Here is a 27,272-nt window from a genome sequence, read left to right on the forward strand (position 1 = left end):
CTGTCTTTCAGGGCCACAGAGTTCAGCTGTCATACTTGTTAATCCCATGGTTTCATTATACTGAATGACTAATGCTTGAGAGTCGATAATAAATTACCCTGTTTTCATTAGCAGTGTTCTTACCATCTCCATCTCTTGTAGGGTCCTGGAATGCCCTCCTTTTGTTAAAACATCCAGTAAACTATCTGCCATGACATACGGATAATCTTGGCACGTGGCCAAAAACTCATGGATGCTGCAAGAGACAGTTAGGAAAGTCTCACATAAATCACCTCCACTGGCTTTATCCTCCCATCAGAGCCAACTGTTTCCACTAGATGTCCTCGGTTATACATCATGACATCAAATTTCTGCCTAGACACAACATGGTATCTACATATTAATTAGCAATAACATTATCATGAGATAATATGAAGAACACAGTAAAAATAAAACGTTCCAAAGAAAAATGAAACCTCAGTGACGGGTGCAGGCTCAGTCCCTGGATCTTCTGCTCCCCGCCCCCTCACTTCCTGTCTGCAGTGATCACCTTCACCTCAGGACTTTCATATGGGATCAAAAAACTCTCAAAAGTTACACCTCCAGTTTGGACCACACCCTTTGGTGCTCCACATGGAAGTCTAACAGACATCTCAAGCTTAAAATATCCAAAATTGAAATGCTAGATCTTCCCCCCAAGTAATGTTCCAAAGCTTCCCCCTTCTCGGTAAATAGCAACTGCAGTCTTCCAGGCTCAGTGTGCAAACCCTGGAGTAAGCCTCGGCATCTCTCTCTCACATCCCACTTCAATCAGTAAAGAAATCCTACTGGCTGATGACTGAGCCCTTCCCAGAACCTCACCTGCTACTCCCCCGGTCCATTTCTCATCTCCCTACTTCTGCCCTTGCCTCTCTACAGTCTATTCTCCAAGAGTAGCCAGGGTGATCCTTTAAACATCATAATCTGGACCGGGTCACTCTTCTGCTCGCAATCCACCAGTAACTTCCATCTCACTGAGAATGAAATTCCAAGTGCTTATAAAGACCCACTCTCATCAACGCCCTCCCTGGCCATGTGCCTGCACTCTTCTGCTTCTTCCTGCTGTTCTCAAGTATGTTGGGAAGGCTCCCACTCAGGCCCTCTGCACAGCTCCTGCACTGCCTGGAACGTTCTTTCAGGTAGCAGCCTTGCTTGCTTCCTCACCTCCTTCAGTTTTTGCTCAACTTTCCCTTTTGTACCAGACTTATCTGACCGATTTAAAAGTGCATCCCTCTCGTAGCCCCAGCACTACTCTCTCCTTCTCTGCTGCTTTACCTTTCTCCAAAGCACTTGTCATCATTTGACAGGAGGGCATGGGCCTTTGCCAGTGTTGTTCCCCTGTGCAATCCCTATTTGTGGAATGCATAGATGCATGATCCAGAAAGAATTCATTCAGGCTGGTGAGGTCTAAAAGATTAAATGGCTTGATCTGAAACCACAGTCAACTTCGGACTTAAGGACCTCTACCTTGTAAAAACAACAACAACCAAACCACACTTACTAATGTAAAAGTGAACAGATTCCCTCTTTGTGAGAAAAGCAGGGGACTGGTGAATCTACAGGGTTAATTTCTTATATGTAATGAAAATTAGCAAGGTACTACTGCTAAGAAGGAATAATATCCAGTAAACTACTGCCATAACCCAAGCTCAGTGTCCCATCCTGAGCCAGAATCCTGCTAAGTCAGGATGGATCTCATTATGTTGATGGGATCCAAACTGCTCAGCATCCTAAACAGGAACACAGAGATGATCTTCCCACAGAAACATGCAATAAAGAATGGTTGAGTTTAACTGCAATGGTCTACCTGGCATGTGATTGGTCAAAAAGGCTTTTATGTGGGCTGCCTATGGAATAGAGCCATCCTATCCTGCCTCCTTTCTTGGGGAAAATGCACTGTAGGTTCCCAAACTGATCAAGTTTGGACCATAACTCACTGACACACAACATGTTATAAGACAGCAGATGGCACATCAACGTTTTGAAGTAACAAGTTCCTACACTTTAGTACTGGCTGAGGTACAGTCTCTTTAAAAATATATTTTTTAAAAATTAAAATACTGCAGATGCTACTATCAGGGAGACATGCTCTCTCTCTCCACTAAAGGATAATAGTAACTATGAATCCATTATTGTCAGCTTAAAAAAAAATTACTGAGCACATTTTTTTTTACTACTCGGCCAGCTTTGTCAGTCTATCCACAAATCATGTATGTACTTTAATGTTTTTAAACAAATGTAATCAGAATATTAACTGGAAACTCACCTGAAATCACTTGGAAGATCAGAGTCTTCCCCATAGGTTGAATAGATTAAATCAGAATCATCCTTGCTGATATTTGCAAATGTGGAGTCATAATGCGGTGCATAAGAACTGTAGGGCCCATAATTCAAATATAACACTGTTGAAAAAATCAAATACTGTAACACTATTCTTTAACTTGCATGTCAATCTATTTTGTTTTACCAAAAGATTATTTATTCTCTCCTAACTTTACTACTTCATTGGCTGGTTTGCAAATCTAAGATATTTTCTCTCAAACAGGTACTTGTAAAGTTACAACTCAAGTGAATTCTTCCCTACAAGGGAGAGGGAGAGGAACAAGAAAGAACAAAATTCATTTTGAATACTAATACCCAATTTTCCAGTCTCTTCTGAAGTTAATAAAATAGCTAATTAATGTTGCAAAAATACCACCAAGATACTGGTGCCCACCTAGTGAATAAAGCATAATCGTGCTTCCTTTCCCTAATATCCCAAAACAGAGAAGAGAAAAAATGACTCCTATGCAGGAGCCTCACCTGGAGTGACTTTGTTCCTTTTATCCTCTTTGAACCCCTGCAAAGTATTCACTCCAGACTGAAGTCTTCCAGTTGTCATTCCCAGTCTCACAGGGCAGTAGCCTGGCTCTACAACATAAAACAGAGCACAGTGAAGGAGGCCTACATGGCCATGACCCACGGGGCCCTCTGCCGAGTGACTCCGCACAAACCACTGCATGTCATCTGCATGACCGTGAAGGAGGCTGGGAAGCGCTTACTACATCCACTTTTATAAGAAAATCAAAGCTCAGAAAGGCAGAACTATAGCCAGGACCAAAACTCAGACCTGTTCATTACACTCTCCTGCTTCCTGGAATTCTTTATAATCATGTACACTTCACTTAAAAAATTAATTTTTATTAAAAACAAAAGCCACAAAAACTTTTAAAAGCTGGGACTTTTAATGTTAAGATGAAAGTTAACCAGTACAAAGGTTAGTAAAAGACTGAGGGAAAACACCTGCATTAAAGACAAAAGGGCTACTAACACATGAAGGATAAATGAGTATCTATGAAAGGCATACTTTTAGTGCAACGAGAACAGGCATTAGCCAGGAATGAATCCCTGTGATGAAGCTGGGAATACGTGACATAGAGAAATGTCACGTATGGGCACCTGAGGGGACTGCAAAAGATGCTGGCAGGAGAAGATGTGGTCTCCCACAGTATCTAACAGAGGGACATCTGCTCTCCTGAAGAAGAGTCTGAGTTTGTGTCACATGATCAGCCTTCAACGGAGGCTACTGCCATCAGTGACCAGTGTGGTGAAGGCACTGTTAAGCAACTGAACATCTAAATCAGATCTTCTCTCCTCAGCCAACAGTCTGGAATTTGGTTTCCTAATAGGTACGGGTACCAGACAATGAAGCTGAGAAGATGAACAGGGGTGTCTTCTACCTTAAACCATGAAAGTGGCCTACAGAGGGAGCTGTGCACACGGGGAGCCAAGTCAGCTTTGGCCACATTTGATTAGGTCTCAGAAACTGGAAACCCAGGAAACCAGAGCAAGGACAGAGACCACACTCGGCTTCACAGAAAGCAGCAGATCTTAAGGTGTCACCTACATCAGTTAGCTGCATCTCCTAACACCAAATGTTCACCACAGCTATAGTAGAAAGAGCAATGTTCTCAATCCTGTGGCATTCTTTGACCTATGATCATATAAAATTCTACTTGTCTGCATCAAAGTAGAAACTGAGTTTTGTTTTGAAAACAGCACTAGCTCCTTTTCTTCTATTACTGTTCTCCTCCTTTAGAGAACATTCATAGTCCCCTTCTTTCCATCTTCAAATGCTCTTCCCTGCTTCAAGGTTTTCACAACTGCTGTTCTCTCATCCCTTACTCAACCTAAACATCATCTCCTTAAGGATGCCTTCCCTGACCCCCAAACACTAGGTTGGTATCTTCTATTATGATCATAGCTGTTCTTTTCCTTTGTAGTATTTATTCATTATAGACACACACCTGCATAGTACTGATTAAGGACAGACTTCTCTTTATGTGAGTCCTCTTCCCCCGACTCCATAGAACAAGGAAAAGGGACTCCTCTCTCTCTGTTTTGTTCTCTACTACACAGCTAGCTCCTAAGACAGCACCCTGCTCACAGCAAACAATAAACATCAGAGACTGTTTCCTTAAGGGTAAAAATTCTGTCATTATTCATTTTCGTATTTCCAATTACTTCTTTCATTATGACAGTATGAAAATAAATTTGTTGAATAAATTAACATTCTCACATTTGCATATCTCAATACATGATTCTCTCCTCAGACCAGTGACAAAAAGTTCTAATTGTGACATCGAATTTCAAAATATAACCTATATGATTTCCATTAAAACATCATTTGAGAAAACAAAAATATGACTGAGGTTCTAAAGATTCCCAATCTTTACAAACTTTCTACTGACTATAGTGAAAGATACGATGTCACTAAGCATACACCTTCCATTATTATTAAGGCACTATGTGGCATATACATTCATTTTATTCCCTGAAATAAACAGTTAAATTTATAATATCATATTCTGTGTGTATGAGATACCTCTAAACTGAGTGTCTATACTAAAGTCTCTTAAAACCAGGGCTAGGAATTACTATCTAAAAGTTATGGCTTTGTTAATGGCGGGTTTAAAATATTTCAGGGACTTTGAATTTTAAGGAAAACTTGATATACTGTACCTATTTCAAGATGAAGTGAAAGTTAGGCTAGCTGTTACCATGAAATACATGATGTCTAGCTAGATCCTTTGTGCATAATGACACAGACTGATCAATATTCAAGCTTGTTGCTTTAAAATGTTAACCCAGGTTACTGTTCTCTGCCAAATAGCATCAAGTTCATGCACAGTTTTACTCTGATCCTACCTCCTACAATGGGATCCACAGGATGGAGAAGTCCCAACGTCGTTGTTCCATCTGGTTTTCTTCTTTCAAATTCGCACTGCAATGACCCAAAGTATTCAGATGGAATGAAGTGTTTTATACAAACAGGCTGAGTATCCTTTATCCGAAATGCTTGATACCAGAGTGTTGTGGATTGCAGATTTTCCCAGATTTTGGAATATTTACATATACATAATGAGATATCTTAGGGATGGAACATAAAATTCATTTATGTTTCATATACACTTTACAGATACAGCCAGAAAATAATTTTATACAATAAATAATTTTGTGCACCCGTCACATGAGGTCAGGTGTGGAAGTTTCCACTTATGTCATCATGTCGGAGCTCAAAAAATTTCAGATTTTGGAGAATTTCAGATTTCGAATTTCTGGATTAGGGATGCTCAGCCTGTACCATATTCATATATGCAGCAAACCACAAAGGCTTATTTTAACCAAACTAATATTACAGGTGGCTAATCATTAAACTCAAGATACTGACTTTCACACAGGGGATGATGGGCTAGAGAAATGGAGGTGAAGAAAATCTCAGAATTCTAAGAGCTCTGTGGGTCCTTAAGGCCACCTAGTCCTCCCCAGTCTATCAAAAAAGGCTACTATGGACCAGGTGAGGGCAGTGGCTTGCTTAAAGGCATGTATACACCTACTTGGCTTTAAAACCAACGTGACAGGGACCCACCATCTCACTGCCACCCAAGACATGGCTTCTGTTCCTAAGTCCCTGTTAAATGTTTCTTTCTGGAAACATTTAAGCTGGAACATGTGGTGAGCTAGTCAGGAGTGGAGGGACCAAGAAATGGGCAAAGGGAAGGAAGCATCCGTGGAGGAAATCCCAGGTGGCAGCCACTTCCTCGTTGAGTGGTATGGCTCATGTTTTAGATGCCTGTGCGTGAGTACAAGGACGCCCTGAAAACACTAGTGTATTTGGAGTGATTGTCGGCTGAGAGCCATCCATCGCACTGTGGTCAGGAAGGGCAGCCGGCAGCCACTGCAGCAAGATGGCCACTTTTGTGGGCTGCTTGTTTGGCAACAGGAGCCCAGCTAGCAGCAGAAGCAAAAGTAAAACAACCTGAGTAGGAATTACAATTAGGAAAAATATTTTTTAAAAAAGAGCTCTATATTCAAATGTCGGCTCAGTTAAAACTGCTATTTGGGCTATACATATACACACATATGTCTACTGTTTTAACGCCGCTGTAATGGCTCTGTAAAATGTCTCAGTCAACTGAGTTCTGTTTGGCTGTCCCCCCTTCCTCTTGCCACCCTCGATACCATATTAGGGACCTAAAGGAATTTCTGGCAGCTTGTGATCTCTTGAGTAAACAGAAAAGGCATCAAAGACTCCTCTTTTTGGGAAGAATCTCTGTTTTTCCTCACAGAATACCAAGAGTTGTAAGCAGACAGATTCCTCTCAGATCTAAAACTCTGCTCTTTTCTGTATTGTATTACCTGATCTCTTCAGCTTTCTGGGGACCCAGGATTCAGTGATTTGGGGTGATCTAAAACCTGCCTTCCAGTAAGTATTAGGCCCTAAAAACTGCATGCTTTCTTGGCCCTGTTCCTTAAAGGGCTCCCTCTTGAAACCAGTAATCTAATAAGGAAACAAGTTAAGTTGAAAAGAGGACACTTTTTTTTTTTTTTTTTTTTTGAGACAGAGTCTCGCTCTGTTGCCCAGGCTAGAGTGCAGAGGTGCAATCTTGGCTCACTGCAACCTCCTTCTGGCAATCAACTTGTTTTCAGGTAATGGTGTTTAGGTATAGCTTCTGTGCCTCTGAGATGTAAATTTTCTACCTTGTTTCGTCTACTTTGTTATGACTTTGGAAATGACTGATAGTCTAAGAGGGGGAGAGAAAGTGAAAACTGGCAAATGAAGAATCTTATAAATCTACAAGATCTGCTTCTGTGTGTTTGTATGTCTATATATGTGTCATGTGTATGTGATGTATCACTACCAAAATATACGAAAGAGCTCTAATCAACTGACCAAAGAAAAGTAAGTGCTTAAATCAATTATTTTATTTAAAAAAAACAGAATTTCGCTCAAATGCCCTTTAGTTCACACAACTTTAGTAATCCTTGGTAAATAAAACTAGTTTCAAAATTCTCTTCAGTAATTTTAAATCTTAAAGTCATGTTATATTAAGTAATCTTAGGGTTTTCACTTGAAATTAGGGTTACTAAAAGTTAAAATAGTTAATATGTTATTAAAATTACTAGATATAAGAGAAACAATTCTATATACATAGTATATAAAGAAAAATGTATTTTTGGTAAAGATACAATATCAATTTACAAAAATCAGTAGCATTTCTATAAACCAATAATGTTCAAGCTGAGCACCAATTCAAGAATGCAATCCTATTCACAACAGCCACAGAAAAAATAAAATACCTAAGAATATATGTAAAGAGGTGAAAGATCTCTAGAAGAACTAAAAAACACTGCTGAAAGAAATCATATATGACACAAATGGAAAAACATCCCATGCTCATGGAATAATCAATATTGTTAAAACGTCCATACTGTCTAAAGCAATCTACAGATTCAATGCTATTCCTATCAAATTCCCAACATCATTCTTCACAGATTCAGAAAAAACTATTCTAAAATTCACATGGAACCAAAAAGGAGCCTGAAGTGCCAAAGCAATTCTAAGCAAAAAGAACAAAGTCAGAGGCATCACATTACCCAATTTCAAACTATACTACAGGCTGGGCACGGTGGCTCATGTCTGTAATCCTAGCACTTTGGGAGGCTGAGTTGGGTGGATTGCTTGAGTTCAGGAGTTTGAGACCTGCCTGGGCAATATGGTGAAACCTCATTTCTACAAAAAATACAAAAATTAGCCGGACATGGTGTCACGCACCTGTACTTTCAGCCACTTGGAAGGCTGAGGCAGGAGAATTGCTTGAGCTCCCAAGGTGGAGGCTGTAGTGAGCCAAGATTGTGCCACTGCACACTCCAGCCTGGGCGACAGAGTGACACCCTGTCTCAAAATCAAACCAAACCAAACAAAAGCTCCCATAAAACTACAAGGCTACAATAACCAAAACAGCATGATACTGATAAAAATAAACAAAATAACTCACAGACCAATGGAACAGAATAGAGAACCCAGAAATAAAGCCACATACATACAACCGACTGATCTTTGACAAAGTCGACAAAAATAAACAAAGTAGAAAGACCACTCAATAAATGGCGCTAAGAAAACTGGCTAACCATGTGCAGAAGAATGAAACTGAACTCCTATCTCTCACAATATACAAACATTAACTCCAAATGGATTAAACACTTAAATGTACGACCTCAAATTATAAAAATCCTAGAATAAAACCTTGGAAATACTCTTCTGGACATGGGCCTCGGCAAAGAATTTTCTATGTTCTCAAAAGCAAAAGTGACAAAAACAAAAATTCACAAGTGGGACCTAATTAAACTACAGAGCTTCTGAACAGCCAAAGAAACTATCAACAGAGTAAAGAAACATCCCGCAGAACGGGAGAAAATATGTGTGAACTACGCATCCAATAAAGGACTAACTACGCATCCAATAAAGGACTAATACCCAGTATCTATAAGGAACTTAAATCAACAAGAAACAAACAAATAGCCCCATTAAAAACTAGGCAAAGGACATGAACAGACACCACTCAAAAGAAGACATACAAGCAGCCAACAAACATATGAGAAAATGCTCAGCATCACTAATCATTGGAGAAATGCAAATCAAAACCACAATAAGATACCATATTATATCATTACTAAAAACTCAAAAAATAAGAGATGCTGGCAAGGTTGTGGAGAAAAGGGAATGCTCACTGTTGGTGAGAATGTAAATTAGTTCAGCTCCTGTGGAAAGCAGTTTGGAGATTTCCCAAAGAACTAAAAATAGAATTACAATTTGACCCAGCAATCCTAGGTATGTACCAAAGGAAAATAAATCATTTTACTCAAAAGACACATGCATTTGTATGTTTACTGCAGCACTGTGCACAACAAAGACACAGAATCAACCTAGGTGCCCACCAACAAAGGACTAGGTAAAGAAAATGCGGTACACACACACACCATGGAATACTACACAGCCATAAAAAAGAATCAAATCATGTCCCCTGCAACGACATGGATGAAGACGGAGGCCACTATCCTAAACAAATTAATGCAGAAACAGAAAAACAAATATTGCCATGTTCTCACTTAAAAGTAGGAGCTAAATACTGGTGCACACAGACACAAAGATGGGAAGAACAGACACTGGAAATGCTAAAAGGGGGCAGGGAGGGAAGGGGGCAAGGGTTCAGAAACTTCCTACTGGGTACTATGTTCACTATTTGGGTGATGGGTTCAAGAGAAGCTCAAATCTCAGCATCATGCAATATACCCACGTAACAAAATGGTGTATGTACCCCTTGAATCTAAAATTAAATAAAACCAACATGCTAAACAATATGATTTCAAAAGACCAGAATACAAATGTTTTCCTGTAAATTTAAATTCTGTAGTTCATGTTCCAATTTTAGAACATATTATAACTTCATTTTTTAAAAATCCAGTAAAAGAGGGTAAGATTAATCATGTACTTTACAAATGAACACAGATGGTCCTCAACTTACAATGGAGTTACATCCAACACGCCCACTGTAAGTTGAAAATATCATGAGTTGAAAATGCATTTAACACCCTGATAAACCCATTGTAGGGAATTGTCTGTCCATTATTAATTGTTTTTCTGCTAAGTATTATACTGATGAAGAGCTCTATGGCAGATATGGATTAAAAATACGCAAGCAATTTAAAAACTAAAAGTTTCAGATGCCCCAAATCAGTAGGTAGAGAAAAGAAAAGGCAAAGCTCAATCACCTGACTGTTCACAAGCCGCCTGGTCAGCTTTCCTCCAGATTCCTTCACGATGCGGTCAAGCTGCTCCTGCTCTCTCTCTAAATTATTGCTTTTAAACTTATCTTCAAGCATATCTTTGTCTTTCCTGAAAATATACATTAATACTAAGTAAAAAAAAAACAAAGATAAGTAAGATGAAAACATTCAAATGAATTCTAAATATGAATACAACTAAAGTGGAGACATTTGTACTACAGTCACTCATTGAAACTTACTTCCTTGATGACCTGTTAAGGGTCTCTAATTTAAGAACAGAAACAGTAAGGCACACCTAACATGTTATTTCCCTACCTTTTTCTGTCCAGTGTTACTTGTGTTAAACGTTTTTCTGGGAACTTACAAAAAAATTAGTTCTACCTCAAACATTACTTTGAAGGGAGAACAATATACCATTGTTCTTTTAAAGTTTGATTTTTAAAATTTAAAACAAGCACTTAAGTGTGTAAATCTTAGAACAAAGAAAAACTTGTCACTAGTTTACTTTCTTTGCATTATGACAGCAAAAATCCCAAACTGCTAACTACAACCCTCCCCAAAGTTGGCAGTGAGGTGCTGGGCGGTCAGGGCTGGCTCCCAGTAGTGTGAACGGGCAGATGCGGCTGCCGTCAGCTGCACAGGTGGCTGCCTAGGTGGAACAGTGGTTCAGCGTTGCTCCCACCAGCTGACATTGGGTGGAAAACATGGGCACGCTGCAGTGACAGCCCATCTGCTTAAGACGCAGCAGTGCCTGTGCTCCCACTGAACTCCTTGCTCCTTTATGGAAGGAGGTAATGACTATGCATTTTTTCTTAAACAAACAGTTCTATTTAAATAAACTCACTGACCATATCAGTCCCAAAAGACACTTTATAGGTTTTAAAACTACTTCAATAAGAATACACATTAGAACTGCTTTCTGAACTGTGTTTGGACAATCCCATATAGTGCTTCATATGAGAAGAGGGGTATCACACCATCAAAATGGACTTTCATGCCAAAACACCACCACCACCGACACACTAGCACTTGGTCTTCCCAAGTCAGGCCCCGAATAAGTATTTTTCCCCCTTACTAGCTTGAAGAAGACAGTTTGACCTTAACATCCCAAAGATCTTTTACTTTTTATTTTCTTTGCTGGGACTCTTGAAGGCGTGTGCTTCGGCATCTCCAGAGTCCTCTCTCTCTCTCTGCCAGCAGCCTCCGTCCTCCCCACTCTGTGAGGTGTCTGTTCCATCTTTCTGCTTTCGAGTTTTCTGCAAGTCAGCCATGAAGTCTATGCTCTGCTTCAGGCTCTGAATTCTTTCCTAAACATATTCGAAAATATTCTTATTATATGTTTGTCATTAACTTTTAAAGTAATGCATTTTTTTCCCCACAGGAGTTTATACTTATCCTGTCATTAACCAGGGAAGAAAAACAATTAAATGTAATCATATACCAAGAGAGTATTGTATTTGGAAACCATGATAATGCCTACACCTTCAATTCTTAAAATTTAATTTCCAACTTCATAGAAAGCTTTACAACTTTATTGCCCTATCAGAAATTTAACAGAGGAGAAAGTATGAATTAAGACTAAGTATTCTTTGAAGTACTGAATTGGAAGACTAAAATTTAGTTTAATGGTGTGTTAACATTTTGTGTTTAACAGACAGGCTTATCTTTTGACAGTTAAGAACTGTTAGGTGTATCAAAGCCTAGGGCATGTGAGCGTGTGAAGTCCCTCTCTGTTCTGGTAGCCCAGTGTGCTCACGGATGACGCTGGCATTTCACTCTGTGTGAAAACAACAAGCCTTGAGGAGAAGACAGTTGGTGGCACAGTTCCTTCCTCAGAGTGCAGAATGGTTTCGCTAACCAAAGAAGTCTTGTTTCTATTCTGTGAAACATGTGCTTAATTTTTCGCTGCAATGATGTGCTGTGAAATTTTCATTGTAGTTAAGGGCTTGAGGTTTCTCCGTAAATTTTAAGAAGGCATATTTGTTTCTACTGACTACCTTGCCTGTACTCTGAAAGTTATCACTGGGTAAAATAGAGTGCAACCTCCTTAGGGCTGCACAGCAACAGCAGGGAAGACTTCTGTGGAGTAACATAAACTAAGAACTAGAAAGAACCAGAGGCCATTCAAACAAGAACAACGCAGCCCAGGAACAACAAATGACTCACCTAAGGTCACTAAACCAGCAACTAAGACTAGGCTTGCTGTCACTCATGTTGGGCCTTTCCTCATCACACCATGCTCTATTAGTAGTGCAGATGGTGACATCCTCACCAACACAGTTCTTGCTGTTTTTTACTGGACTTTTAAAGTAATCTTAAAACCATTAAAGCGATCTATTTTATTGTGGACAAATAAAAATATGGGTAGAGGAGAAAATAAAAATCCTCCTAATGTCTCATCCAGAGAAGAACAGTGTTAACAAGTTTATTATTCCAGTACTTTTCCAACCATTACATAACCCAGCAAATTGGAATTATACTGAATATTTAGTAAAAAGCATTTTTTCAGTTAATAAATTATAAGCATTTCCTCTCCATATCAATAGATATTTAAAATATTTTAATAACTATTTAATCCCACGTCTACACCATGATTTAATTAATGGCCTATGATTGAACATTTAGATTTCCATGTTTCCACTATTATAAATAAAAGTACCATCAACATCATTATAAATAAATCTCTCTAGGAACCAGTATCTCTTTAGGATAAACTCTTAGAAAGGAAACAAAGTCAAAGGGAATGAATATTTTTGAGACTTTTGATAATTACTGCTTTCCAGAAAAGGTATACCAATTTACATACTAATTTACATTAGTGTTTGAAAGTTTCTCTGAATCCTTGACAAAATCAATAGTATCACTTAAAAAGCTAACCCATTAGAATCGCTTGAACCCGGGAGGCAGAGGTTGCAGTGAGCCGAGATTGCGCCACTGCACTCCAGCCTGGGTGACAGAGTGAGACTCCGTCTCAAAAAAACAAAACAAAAAACAAAAAACACAAACAACAACAAAAAGCAATCTTATTTGATTTTTAAAAACACGTTTTATTTTGCTACATTAAAAATATTAGTGAGTTTAATTATTTCTGTAAGTTCTCAGTAATAATTTTATTTCCACTCTAGAATTTTATAAAGCAGAACTTACATTAAGAATGCTTTGGGGTTTTAAAAAACACGACATGCACAAAATAAATTCAATTAGAGAAAGTTTCTAAACCTTGAAACAAGTCCCAGGAAAGAGTGAAGTTTAATTTTCCTTTGAAAGCAATGTCTTTTTCTTTTTTTGGTAATTAAAATGCCTCCAAGTCAGCACATTATTGATCTTCAATTTTACAATATTAAATGGCTAACAGGGCTGGTTCTTTGCTAATAATATAGCTAACATTTACTTAGTGCTTACCCATGTGCCAGACACAACTCCATGAGGTAAGTACTACTATTATCCCCACTTTACAGGACAGGAAAAAGGCTGACAAAGGTTACCTGGGCTAAAGTCACACAGCTTCCAAAGGGTAGAGCTAGGACTTGAACCTTGATTGGTCTGATTTCAAAGCCACTATGCTACAAATAGTATTGTTTGTACTACTTTGTTTGTACTACAATGCAGCATTTTACTCAAGTATTTATTTAGGAGATAAAAAGTTACTCTTCATCTGTTCATTCTTCTTTTTTTTTTTTTTTTTTTTTGAGACGGAGTTTCCCTCTTGTTGCCCAGGCTGGAGTGCAGTGGCGTGATCTTGGCTCACCACAACCTCCACCTCCCAGGTTCAAGCGATTCTCCTGCCTCAGCCTCCTGAGTAGCTGGAATTACAGGCATGCACCACCACGCCCAACTAATTTTGTATTTTTAGTAGAGACGGAGTTTTTCCATGTTGGTCATGCTGGTCTCAAACTCCTGACCTCAGATGATCCGCCCACCTCAGCCTCCCAAAGTGTTGGGATTACAGGCATGAGCCACTGTTCCTGGCCTCATCTGTTCATTCTTTATAAAAATAACACGTCTACTAATAGTTGTTATTTGAGTGTAACTGAAAAAATGATGAGTGACTACTCTACAATTTTTTCAATGAACATTCAAAAACAGTTATCTTTGAAAAGACACCATTCACGGAAGGGTGTGCTGGGCTCTCTTGGAGCACAAACTATTAGAAGAGTTAACTCAAAAGGTCTAAATTTAAACGTTTAAAAATCACTGTTGTGACGACCCCTCCCCTGTAGGGTGGAGAGAACAGTCAATAGGAAGCTAATAACACAGGATGGGTGGGGCTCCTCAACAGCAAAAGATCTGAAAAAAAGGAAGACAACAGAGAGAAAGAAAGAGGGAGAGAGGGAAGGGAAAGTGAAGAAAATTTTATTTTCTGTGCTTTCAACCATTCCACACGCCAGTAAAATTCAAGAGATAATGGAATCTTTTGCTTGTTGTATTAACTACATTACTTAAGGAAGTGGTAAATCAAAGGTCATTAAAAATTAGGCTCCCACCACCCAATTCAATGTACATATTTTGGAGTGACTAAAGGCTGCATTTGACAAATGCATTTTTACTTCAAATACATTAACAAGAAGCATTTCCATGTCTTTAAACCTGGAATATGGCATGGTTCTAGATTCTGAGAGTCTTCCTGCAAAGAATGGGTAAACATTTCATATTCCTCTTTCCTCTGCGAATGTTGTCAAAGATGGGTAACTGGCTTCCATTAGTTTCCCAAGTCTTTAGGAAAGGGTGGGAACCAAAGTTGTCTAAATATTAGGAGCGCAAGAATAATCAACAATCCAAACATGTTTTTCTTTCTCTAGTTAAGTGAATCCAAGAATCTCTCAGCCAAGCATACAGACACTCAGACATCTGCACACCAAGGCATTTCTTTAAATGTAAAACTGTAATACAGAAAAATGAATCACCATAAAAATCGAAAAACCACATGCAGATGCACGACTCATTTTTATCATCCTTTAACTCCCCTGAATGTGAGCTCAAGCTCTGGACTCTGATTCCTTTCTCCTTCTACCAGTGTCTTATACCCACTCATTTCTTCTTTGCAAAATCCCTGTCCTATCTTGTGGTTCTTTTTCATAGTATCCTCTCTACTCTACCTCTTATCTAGAATCAGAACAGTAATGCTAGAAATCATCTTGGAGACCACAGACTAAACCCTTCTTTAGGGATGAGAACACTGAGTCCCAGGGTAGTTAATGTCTTGCCCAAAGTCCACAAGTTAGTGGAAGAGAGCTAAAATGAAAACTCTCTTCTGCCTGCCTGCCATGGTATGGTATGGTGCCAGGATCACCCTTGATTCGTTCCCTAAAGTAGTCTCTTACATAGGTTTCTCCCACTCAGAGTGGTGAGAAAAACCTCAAAAGATATGGCTTATCTTGCGAGTTATTTTCTCCAGCGGATGCACAGTGATCATCTCAGCTTACCCTTCAAAGCCTTTTATCAACTGTCGTCCTGGGGACACTAGTAATTTTTTGCCACTGTGTATAATATCTCATGTTTACGCTCTTTCCTGCAGTTTGATGATGATGTGTCTGTGCCTACGCACACACTTCTCTGACCTCAAATGACTTACTATGCACTAATTCTTACCCTTTAAGGAAGAGTCTGCTGTTGTGGAGAGGTGGTTTTGAGACAGTTTCAAATTTTCTCTCATTTGTATATAGTCACATGTAGCTTAATGAAGGGACGCGTTCTGAGAAATGTACTGTTAGGCAATTTTGTTGTGTGACCATCAATGAGTACACTCACACAAACCTAGATGGTATAGCCTATCAGACACCTGGCTAAATGATATAGCCTACTGCTCCTAGGCTAGGAACCTATACAGCATGTTACCATACTGAATACTGCAGACAGCTGTAACACAATGCTAAGTATGTGTGCATTTAAATATAACAAAAGTACAGTAAAAATACAGTATTACAATCTTATGGAACCACCACTGTATATGCAGTCTGTATATACAGTATTATGCAGCGCATGACTGTATTTTCTTACTAGAAATTCTGTGCTTCTGACAGGACTGACCAACGTTAGATTCCACCCCTACAAATGCAAACAGAGAGCTTTCCTCTTCAGAGTTCTCACAATTCAGCCAGTCTTATCCTGGAATTCAGGCTGATGTTTCAAGCTGATGTTTTATGTCTTAAGAGATAATTACAAGTGAATGCCAATATTTATTTGTATTGATTCCAAGTAAGAATTTTCCTGTCTTAATTTTCTTCTCTTTATTAAAATTTTTTTCATTTAGTATTTTCTACTTTATTTAATATAATATAACCTGCTAATAAAATAAAATCAATACTGTATTGTATCTGTATTACTATGGCCAACAAACAGCGACACAGATTTTAATAACTATTATTTATGACAAAGAGTTTCCTTTACCTGGCTAAGAATTTTCATTCCTGAGTGCAACAGCTTCTTTGCAGCTTTATAATAAATGGTCTCTGGTTTATTGTAAATCATGGCATTAGTACACATTAGTTTGAAGTTATCCTGCAGAAAGAACATTAAGGGAGAAAATGCATTAATGCAAAACAAACTACCCTGCACCCCCAGGTTGAAAATATACAGGTCCTCTAAAAATTTAAAAAGCAACATCCCTTTCTTTATTTACTAAACAATACTAACAGTAATTTATTAAGTTTTAAGACTCACCAACAAAACAAATACTGCTAAATGTATTTAAATATGCTATATTATTTCCCAAATTCTTAAATATTTTATAGTACCTGTATATAAACTGTAGATCCCAGAATGAAACTTTTAAATGGGTTTCTTCAGTATAATCTTACTGCACATAAAAAAAATGTGAAGAAAATACTTCTATTTCATATGTAATGATTTTAGCTGAGTAGTTCATGTAAATAAAAAAAATATTACTCCTAGCTTTAAAACAAACATCTTAAATTTCCATTTAGGAATTGAACATTTTATTTCAGATCTTGACTGAAAACGGAGCAGTCCTAAATTATCGCAGTATTTCCTGCCAAATTCACATTAACTGAGCAAAAAATGTTAAAACATTTACACTACTTTTATGTGTTTGGATACTATCATAAACTAAACATAATTTGCAGAATGTTGCAAAACCATGCCAATGTGAAATAAACCATACAACCTCAAGGAGTTAAAACATGTAACTGGAGTAGCCAAATTACCAAAACTGTCTTTTTGGCTTAAATTTCCAAGTCCGCTATGTGCTGGAGAACTTGACCCCACTGCATGCTTTCATAGTTAAGTAATTTTTACATCTATAAATGTGCGATTCATTATGCCAAGGCCTTACTAAGTTGAAAGAAAAACCCAAGAAAAGAGAATCTGCCCCCTACAAATTTGTTTAAAAAACAAAAAAAATTCAAATTCCACTATTTAATAGTGATGACAGGTTAGAACACTTAAATAGAACAAAAATAAGTAGACTGAGTTCTATGTACAAGTACGTAAGACTGAGTGAAGGGTCGCAATAAATTTGGTATTAAAGTGGATGAAGTATATGTGGATCTTCAGTTTGGGCCATGACTGTAAATATGCCAGGTCTTGGATCTCTAAGCATCTGATGAAAGCTATGGGACCAGACCTTAAGTACACACACACACACACACACACACACACACACACACACACACAGCTGAACACAAAAGTCTTCATGTAATTTTAGTAGGTTCTTGGTCCCTCTAAAGGCTCATTATGGTATCCAAAGGACCCTAGATTAAAGACCTTTGTTACAGATATTTGGAAAAGCTTCCAGGCCATTAAGAATTACTAGGCTGGGCATAGTGGCTCACCCTTATAATTCTAGCACTTTGGGAGGCCGAGGCAGGTGGACTGCTTGAGCCCAGGAGTTTGAGACTGGTCAGGGCAACATGGTGAAACCCCGTCTCTACTAAAAATACAAAAAAATTAGCTGGGTGTGGTGACACACCCCTGTAGTCCCAGCTACTTGGGAGGCTGAGGCACAACAATTGCTTGAACCCTGAACGTGGAGGTTGCAGTGAGCCAAGATCATGCCACTGCACTCCAGCCTGAGCAACAGAGTGAGACTCGGTCTCAAAAAAAAAAAAAAAAAATTAAATATGTATTTGGGGGGATGGGACGCAAGTGAACGGAGATACTAGATTACTATATATACTCAAACTAAGTGACCATTTGGCCTATAATTGGCCAGATAATGGGCCTATGAACTGGCAAGAGTACTGAATTGTTCTAATGAACACAGGACTGATCTATTAAGCCAATTTGTAGATTCCTTAAATCTTAACATAATGTGCTGGGCTTTACTGAACTGTGGGTGATGGCACTGGTCATTCAAAAAGCTGAGTCTTCCTGCACACTTTTCACACACACACACACACACACACACACACACACACACACATTTTACTTCAACTGCCAAATGAACTGAATAAATATTACTTTAGGCCGTTGAGCTTTCCCTAGAAAAAAGTGGCAACGTAGAAATTCTAAAGAGCTAAGATACCAATTCCTTTCAATTATGATAAACCCTAACCTGCTTAAAAACACTCTGGGGACACACTTCTACTCTTCTTACTGTAAGAGAAAGATCAGAGGAAAATCATGCAGAAAAAAAACAAAAAACAAAAAACTGTGAAATTCTTTCCCATTAAGCAATGGTAAGGTCAGAAATATGCTGAAATAAACGGTTTTAGCCTAATTTTCACCAGATAAAAAGTTGGGAAAAGTTTCTATTTCTCGAAATAAGAGAGAATGTAATTCAGATTCTTTGGAGAAAGTGGAATATTACCTATAAACTCAACAGTAAAGAGCACTAAACACTGATATTCTTCATAAATCTCTGCTTATCAATATGTGGATGAAAAAAGGGACTAAGTAAAGACACTGTCTTTTTTTTTTTTTTTTTTTTTGAGATGGAGTCTCACTCTGTCGCAAGCTCTGCCTCCTGGGTTCACGCCATTCTCCGGCCTCAGCCTCCCGAGTAGCTGGGACTACAGGCATCCGCCACCACACTCAGCCAATTTTTTTGTATTTTCAGTAGAGACGGGGTTTCACTGTGTTACCCAGGATGGTCTTGATCTCCTGACCTTGTGATCCACCTGCCTCGGCCTCCGGAAGTGCTGGGATTACAGGTGTAAGCCACCACACCTGGCCATAAAGACACTATCTTATTTTATTTTTAGGAAAATAACTAATTAGGGTAACCAATTAGGGTCTAACCCTTATAGGTCAGGTGAGCACTACTGTGGTTATGTAAAACAAAGTAGAGGTAAAACAGATATTATCTAAACCAATTAAGTTTGTGGCGGTTGAATACATAGTAAATTTTAATATACATGGTTCCTTTCCCTGGAATCAACACACACCAGGACACTCCCTCAAATGGGAAAAACCTCATCTATAATAGGTATATATATTATAAGTTTTCAGGTCCTTGTAAATTTTCTATACTCTTCTTAAAGCTGAAGAAAATATGCTCAACAAATATAGCCAAAATGAACTCAGAGAGCAATTAACTTTCATCAAATTAGAAAATGTAATTAAACTTCTCTTTAGTATTTCTGGACAAGCCAATTTATTCTTTACTTTAGAGTACATGTGATATGGTTTGGCTCTCTGTCCCCACCCCAATCTCATGTTGAATTGTAATCCCCAATGTTGGGGGAAGGACCTGGTGGGAGGTGATTTGATCATGGAGGCAGATATCCCCCTTGCTGTTCTTGTGATAATGAGTCCTCACAAGATCTGGTTGTTTGAAAGTGTGTAGTGATAGGTTCCAAGGTGGCCGAATAGGAACAGATCCAGTCTACAGCTCCCAGCATGAGTGATGCAGAAGACTGGTGATTTCTGCATTTCCAACTGAGGTACTGGGTTCATCTCACTGGGGCTTGTCGGACAGTGGGTGCAGCCCACAGAGTGTGAGCCGAAGCAGGGCAGGGAATCACCTCACTCAGGAAGCACAAGGGGTTGGGGAATTCCCTTTCCTAGCCAAGGGAAGCTGTGACAGACTGTACCTGGAAAATCAGGACACTCCCACCCTAATACTGTGCTTTTCCAATGGTCTTTGCAAATGGCACACCAGATTATATCCCGCGCATGGCTCAGAGGGTCCCATGCCCACGGAGCCTCACTCACTGTTAGCACAGCAGTCTGAGATTGAACTGCAAGGCAGCAGTGAGGCTGGGGGAGGGGCGCCCACCACTGCTGAGGCTTGAGTAGGTAAACAAAGCCACCGGGAAGCTCGAACTGGGTGGAGCCTACCTCTGGGGGCAGGGCATAGCTGAACAAAAGGCAGCAGAAACTTCTGCAGACTTAAACGTCCCTGTCTGACAGCTTTGAAGAGAGTAGTGGTTCTGCCAGCATGGAGTTTGAGATCTGAGAACGGACAGACTACCTCCTGAAGTGAGTCCCTGACCCCCGAGTAGCCTAACTGGGAGGCACCTCCCTGTAGGGGCCAACTGACACCTCATACAGCTGGGTGCCCCTCTGAGATGAAGCTTCCAGAGGAAGGATCGGGCAGCAACATGTACCATTCTGCAATATTTGCTGTTCTGCAGCCTCTGCTGGTGATACCCAAACAGGGTCTGGAGTAGACCCCCAGCAAACTCCAACAGACCTGCAGCTGAGGGTCCTGACTGTTAGAAGAAAAACTAACAAATAGAAAGGACATCCGCACCAAAACTCCATCTGTATGTCACCATCATCAAAGACCAAAGGTACATAAAACCACAAAGACGGGGAGAAACCAGAGCGGAAAAGCTGAAAATTCTACAAATCAGAGCACCTCTTCTCCTCCAAAGGAACGCAGCTCCTTGCCAGCAACGGAACAAAGCTGGAGGGAGAAAGACTTTGATGAGTTGAGAGAAGAATGCTTCAGACGATCAGTAATAACAAACTTCTCTGAGCTCAAGGAAGATGTTTGAACCCATTGCAAAGAAGCTAAAAACCTTGAAAAAAGATTAGACGAATGGCTAACTACATTAAATAGGGTAGAGAAGACCTTAACTGACCTGATGGAGCTGAAAATCATGGCACGAGGACTACGTGATGCATGCACAAGTTTCAGTAGCCGATTTGATCAAGTGGAAGAAAGGGTATCAATGATTGAAGATCAAATGAATGAAATGAAGCAAAAAGAGAAGTTTAGAGGAAAAGGAGTGAAAAGAAATGAACAAAGCCTCCAAGAAATATTGGACTATGTGAAAAGGCCAAATCTACATCTGATTGGTGTACCTGAAAGTGATGGGGAGAATGGAACCAAGTTGGAAAACACTCTTCAGGATATTATCCAGGAGAACTTCCCCAACCTAGCAAGGCAGGCCAATATTCAAATTCAGGAAATACAGAGAATGCCACAAAGATACTCCTCGAGAAGAGCAACTCCAAGACACATAATTGTCAGATTCACCAAAGTTGAAATGAAGGAAAAAATGTTAAGGGCAGCCAGAGAGAAAGGTCAGGTTACCCACCAAAGGGAAGCCCATCAGACTAACAGCAGATCTCTCAGCAGAAACCCTATAAGCCAGAAGAGAGTGGGAGCCAATATTCAACATTCTTAAAGAAAAGAATTTTCAACCCAGAATTTCATATCCAGCCAAACTAAGCTTCATAAGTGAAGGAGAAATAAAATCTTTTACAGACAAACAAATGCTGACAGATTTTGTCATCACCAGGCCTGTCTTACAAGAGCTTCTGAAGGAAGCACTAAACGTGGAAAGGAATAACCAGTACCAGCCACTGCAAAAACAGGCCAAATTGTAAAGACCATCAAGGCTAGAAAGAAACTGCATCAACTAACGAGCAAAATAACCAGCTAACATCATAATGACAGGATCAAATTCACACATAACAATATTAACCTTAAATGTAAATGGGCTAAATGCTCCAATTAAAAGACACAGACTAGCAAATTGGATAAAGAGTCAAGACCCATCAGTGTGCTGTATTCAGGAAACCCATCTCATGTGCAGAGACACACATAGGCTCAAAATAAAGGGATGGAGGAAGATCTACCAAGCAAATGGAAAACAGAAAAAGGCAGGGGTTGCAATCCTAGTCTCTGATAAAACAGACTTTAAACCAACAAAGATCAAAAGAGACAAAGAAGGCCATTACATAATGGTAAAGGGATCAATTCAACAAGAAGAGCTAACTATCCTAAATATATATGCACCCAATACAGGAGCACCCAGATTCATAAAGCAAGTCCTGAGTTACCTAAAAAGAGACTTAGACTCACACGCAATAATAATGCAAAACTTTAACACCCCACTGTCAACATTAGACAGATCGACGAGACAGAAAGTTAACAAGGATATCCAGGAATTGAACTCAGCTCTGCACCAAGCAGACCTAATAGACATCTACAGAACTCTCCACCCTAAATCAACAGAATATACATTCTTCTCAGCACCACACTGCACTTATTCCAAAATTGACCACACAGTTGGAAGTAAAGCACTCCTCAGTAAATGTAAAAGAACAGAAATTATAACAAACTGTCTCTCAGACCACAGTGCAATCAAACTAGAACTCAGGATTAAGAAACTCACTCAAAACCGCTCAACTACATGGAAACTGAACAACCTGCTCCTGAATGACTACCAGGTACATAACGAAATGAAGGCAGAAATAAAGATGTTCTTTGAAACCAATGAGAACAAACACACAACATACCAGAATCTCTGGGACACATTTAAAGCAGTGTGTAGAGGGAAATTTATAGCACTAAATGCCCACAAGAGAAGGCAGGAAAGATCTAAAATTGATACCCTAACATCACAATTAAAAAAATTAGAGAAGCAAGAGCAAACACATTCAAAACCTAGCAGAAGGCAAGAAATAACTAAGATCAGAGCAGAACTGAAGGAGATAGAGATACAAAAAACCCTTCAAAAAAATCAATGAATCCAGGAACTGGTTTTTTGAAAAGATCAACAAAATTGATAGACCACTAGCAAGACTAAGAAGAAAACAGAGAAGAATCAAATAGATGCAATAAAAAATGATAAAGGGGATATCGCCACTGATCCCACAGAAATAGAAACTACCATCAGAGAATACTATAAACACCTCCATGCAAATAAACTAGAAAATCTAGAAGAAATGGATAAATTCCTGGATACATACACCCTCCCAAGACTAAACCAGGAAGAAGCTGAATCCCTGAATAGACCAATAAGAGGCTCTGAAATTGAGGCAATAGCCTACCAACCAAAAAAAGTCCAAGACTAGATGGATTCACAGCCAAATTCTACCAGAGGTACAAAGAGGAGCTGGTACTATTCCTTCTGAAACTATTCCAATCAATAGAAAAAGAGGGAATCCTCCCTAACTCATTTTATGAGGCCAGCATCATCCTGATACCAAAGCCTGGTAGAGACACAACAAAAAAAGAGAATTTTAGACCAATATCCCTGATGAACATCGATGCAAAAATCCTCAATAAAATACTGGCAAACCAAATCCAGCAGCACATCAAAAAGCTTATCCACCACGATCAAGTTGGCTTCATCCCTGGGAGGCAAGGCTGGTTCAATATATGCAAATCAATAAACGTAATCCAGCATATAAACAGAACCAAAGACAAAAACCACATGATTATCTCAATAGATGCAGAAAAGGCCTTTGACAAAATTCAACAGCCCTTCATGCTAAAACCTCTCAATAAACTAGGTATTGATAGGACATATCTCAAAATAATAAGAGCTATTTATGACAAAACCACAGCCAATATCATACCGAAAGGCAAAAACTGGAAGCATTCCCTTTGAAAACTGGCACAAGACAGGGATGACCTCTCTCACCACTCCTATTTAACATAGTGTTGGAAGTTCTGGCCAGGGCAATCAGGCAGGAGAAAGAAATAAAGGGTATTCAATTAGGAAAAGAGGAAGTCAAATTGTCCCTGTTTGCAGATGACATGATTGTATATTTAGAAAACCCCATCGTCTCAGCCCAAAATCTCCTTAAGCTGATAAGCAACTTCAGCAAAGTCTCAGGATACAAAATCAATGTACAAAAATCACAAGCATTCCTATACACCAATAACAGACAAACAGAGAGCCAAATCATGAGTGAAATCCCATTCACAATTGCTTCAAAGAGAATAAAATAGCTAGGAATCCAACTCACAAGGGATGTGAAGGACCTCTTCAAGGAGAACTATAAACCACTGCTCAATGAAATAAAAGAGGATACAAACAAATGGAAGAACATTCCATGCTCATGGGTAGGAAGAATCAATATCGTGAAAATGGCCATAGTGCCCAAGGTAATTTATAGATTCAATGCCATCCCCATCAAGCTACCAATGACTTTCTTCACAGAATTGGAAAAAACTACTTTAAAGTTCATATGGAACCAAAAAAGAGCCTGCATTGCCAAGTCAATCCTAAGCCAAAAGAACAAAGCTGGAGGCATCACACTACCTGACTTCAAACTATACTACAAGACTACAGTAACCAAAACAGCATGGTACTGGTACCAAAACAGAGACAGAGAACAATGGAACAGAACAGAGCACTCAGAAATAATAACACACATCTACAACCATCTGATCTTTGACAAACCTGACAAAAACAAGAAAGGGAGAAAGAATTCCCTATTTAATAAATGGTGCTGGGAAAACTGGCTAGCCATATGTAGAAAGCTGAAACTGGATCCCTTCCTTACACCTTATACAAAAATTAATTCAAGATGGATTAGAGACTTAAATGTTAGACCTAAAACCATAAAAACCCTAGAAGAAAACCTAGGCTATACCATTCAGGACATAGGCATGGGCAAGGACTTCATGACTAAAACACCAAAAGCAATGGCAACAAAAGCCAAAATTGACAAATGGGATCTCATTAAACTAAAGAGCTTCTGCACAGCAAAAGAAACTACCATCAGAGTGAACAGGCAACCTACAGAATGGGAGAAAATTTTCACAGTCTATCCATCTGACAAAGGGCTAATATCCAGAATCTACAAAGAACTTAAACAAATCTACAAGAAAAAATCAAACAACCCCATCAAAAAGTGGGCAAAGGATATGAACAGACACTTCTCAAAAGAAGACATTCATGCAGAAGACACGTGAAAAATGCTCATCATCACTGGCAGTCGGAGAAATGCAAATCAAAACCACAATGAGATACCATCTCACACCAGTTAGAACGGTGATCATTAAAAAGTCAGGAAACAACAGGTGCTGGAAAGGATGTGGAGAAACAGGAACACTTTTACACTGTTGGTGGGACTGTAAACTAGTTCAACCATGTGGAAGACAGTGTGGCGATTCCTCAAGGATCTAGAACTAGAAATAGCATTTGACCCAGCAATCCCATTACTGGGTATATACCCAAAGGATTATAAATCATGCTGCTATAAAGACACATGCGCACGTATGTTTATTGTGGCACTATTCACAATAGCAAAGACTTGGAACCAACCCAAATGTCCAACGATGATAGACTGGATTAAGAAAATGTGGCACATATACACCATGGAATACTATGCAGCCATAAAAAGGATGAGTTCATGTCCTTTGTAGGGACATGGATGAAGCTGTTTCTGAGCAAACTATGGCAAGGACAGAAAACCAAACACCGCACGTTCTCCCTCATAGGTGGGAATTGAACAATGAGAACACCTGGACACAGGGTGGGGAACATCACACACCGGGGCCTGTTGTGGGGTGGGGGCATGGGGGAGGGGTAGCATTAGGAGATATACCTAATGTAAATGATGAGTTAATGGGTTCAGCGCACCAACATGGCACATGAATATATATGTAACCAACCTGCACGTTGTGCACATGTACCCTAGAACTTAAATTAAAAAAAAAAAAATTAAAAAAATGTAAACCATCTAAAAAAAAAAAAGAAAGTGTGTAGCACTTCCCCCTTCACTCTCTCCTGCTGCCATGTGAAGACGTGCTTGCTTCCCCTTCATGTTCCAGTACGATTGTAAGTTTCCTTGGGTCTCTCCAGCCATGTGTCCTGTACAGCCTGTGGAACTGTGAGTTAATCAAAGCTCTTTTCTTCATAAATTACCCAGTCTCAGGCAGTTCTGTATAGCGGTGTAAGAATGGATTAATACAATATGCATATCTCATATGTCTAGAAATAGAAAAAACCCTCAACTTTCATTAAAATATTCGTTTTACTTGTATTGATCTAAGCTAAAAATTTCACTCTAAGGTTGGAAAAAATATACTGTGGAACACATATCAAACTCAAAATTTCGCTAAAGACAAAAATAATTATGAATGAAAGATATCAGAGGACCTATTTCATCTGGTTTTCCATCACCAAGCTCATAAAGTTTTCTGAAGCAGAAATAAACAAAGATACTGGATCTTAAAATAAACTCAATTCTTTGCAAAATAAAAGGTCAATGAGAAAGATTCTGAATATCAGACATGCAGATTTCTACCAAGATTTTGTGTATATAGGATTGAAGAGTTACCTTTAGTTCTTCTATGGACTGATAGTCATTGTTCTTGATCTTTTCTTTCATGGTACTAAAATCCATTGGGTGTTTAATGATCATGGAGTAGCCAGGAGCAATAAAATCAGTCACAGGAAATGAAAAGAAAGCACTTGGATCTTTTCTGTAAAGATATGCAAAAGACAATGTAATATTTTATTCTATTACAAACAAATCTATTGGTCTAGGAGCAGAAGTCAGAGGAAACCCTTCAGATGCAGAAAGAATTTGTAATATGTTAACATATTTTTAACTGAAAACTGAAGAAATGATTTTAAAGTCTATTAAGTATTTCATAACAAGGAAGTTTTACATACTAGCTGTACCCTCAGGATGGAGATTTCTTTCTTTTAAAATACACAGCCTCATTAACAGCTACACTTATACAGGAAAACATGAAGCAAAATAAACAACCTCAACTAACTGACCAATGTTTTAACCTTTGGGAGATTAGCACTGCATATTTTTAACCAACCAAAGGGGAAAAGGCTAAAATAGTAACTATGAACATACATCTACAATCCTCCATATTAATTTCTAATAGGCTTGCATTTCTGGTCCATGCATGTCTATTTTCTCCATAAATGGATATAACTTCTATCACGTGTATGTGGGGGATGCTAAAAAAACTGACATTAAAAAGGTCCTCTTAAATACCTCCGTATGTGTGCCAAGACAGGACTGGACCAAAA

At 38.9% G+C, this 27,272-nt stretch overlaps 1 protein-coding gene across 12 annotated transcripts in view, besides 2 other annotated features; it reads right to left on the reverse strand.

The window, feature by feature from the left end:
* Positions 1-27,272, reverse strand: part of BRD7 (bromodomain containing 7) — a 53,032-nt gene that overhangs the window by 7,507 nt on the left and 18,253 nt on the right. For 5 of the 12 annotated variants that reach the window (NM_013263.5, XM_047434006.1, NM_001173984.4 and 2 more), the window contains 8 exons: positions 26,560-26,704; positions 16,513-16,623; positions 11,248-11,432; positions 10,111-10,234; positions 5,206-5,281; positions 2,821-2,928; positions 2,285-2,420; positions 124-235 (listed from right to left, as the gene is read on the reverse strand). In NM_013263.5, coding sequence (NP_037395.2) covers positions 124-235; positions 2,285-2,420; positions 2,821-2,928; positions 5,206-5,281; positions 10,111-10,234; positions 11,248-11,432; positions 16,513-16,623; positions 26,560-26,704 — 997 coding nt within the window. Of the gene's footprint in view, positions 1-123; positions 236-2,284; positions 2,421-2,820; positions 2,929-5,205; positions 5,282-10,110; positions 10,235-11,247; positions 11,433-16,512; positions 16,624-16,859; positions 17,720-26,559; positions 26,705-27,272 lie in introns of those variants that run through there. The other 7 variants (XM_011523049.3, XM_011523048.3, NM_001438175.1 and 4 more) reach the window with 3 other exon arrangements.
* Positions 3,897-3,946: an enhancer, noted in NCBI's record as "active region_10815". NCBI's record gives its function as "activates an Ori minimal core promoter by ATAC-STARR-seq in GM12878 lymphoblastoid cells {active_cell/tissue: GM12878}" and the evidence as "EXISTENCE:reporter gene assay evidence [ECO:0000049][PMID:35858748]".
* Positions 12,143-12,222: an enhancer, noted in NCBI's record as "active region_10816". NCBI's record gives its function as "activates an Ori minimal core promoter by ATAC-STARR-seq in GM12878 lymphoblastoid cells {active_cell/tissue: GM12878}" and the evidence as "EXISTENCE:reporter gene assay evidence [ECO:0000049][PMID:35858748]".

Source organism: Homo sapiens, chromosome 16 (assembly GCF_000001405.40).
Source record: "Homo sapiens chromosome 16, GRCh38.p14 Primary Assembly".
In the NCBI taxonomy this organism is placed as follows: domain Eukaryota; kingdom Metazoa; phylum Chordata; class Mammalia; order Primates; family Hominidae; genus Homo; species Homo sapiens.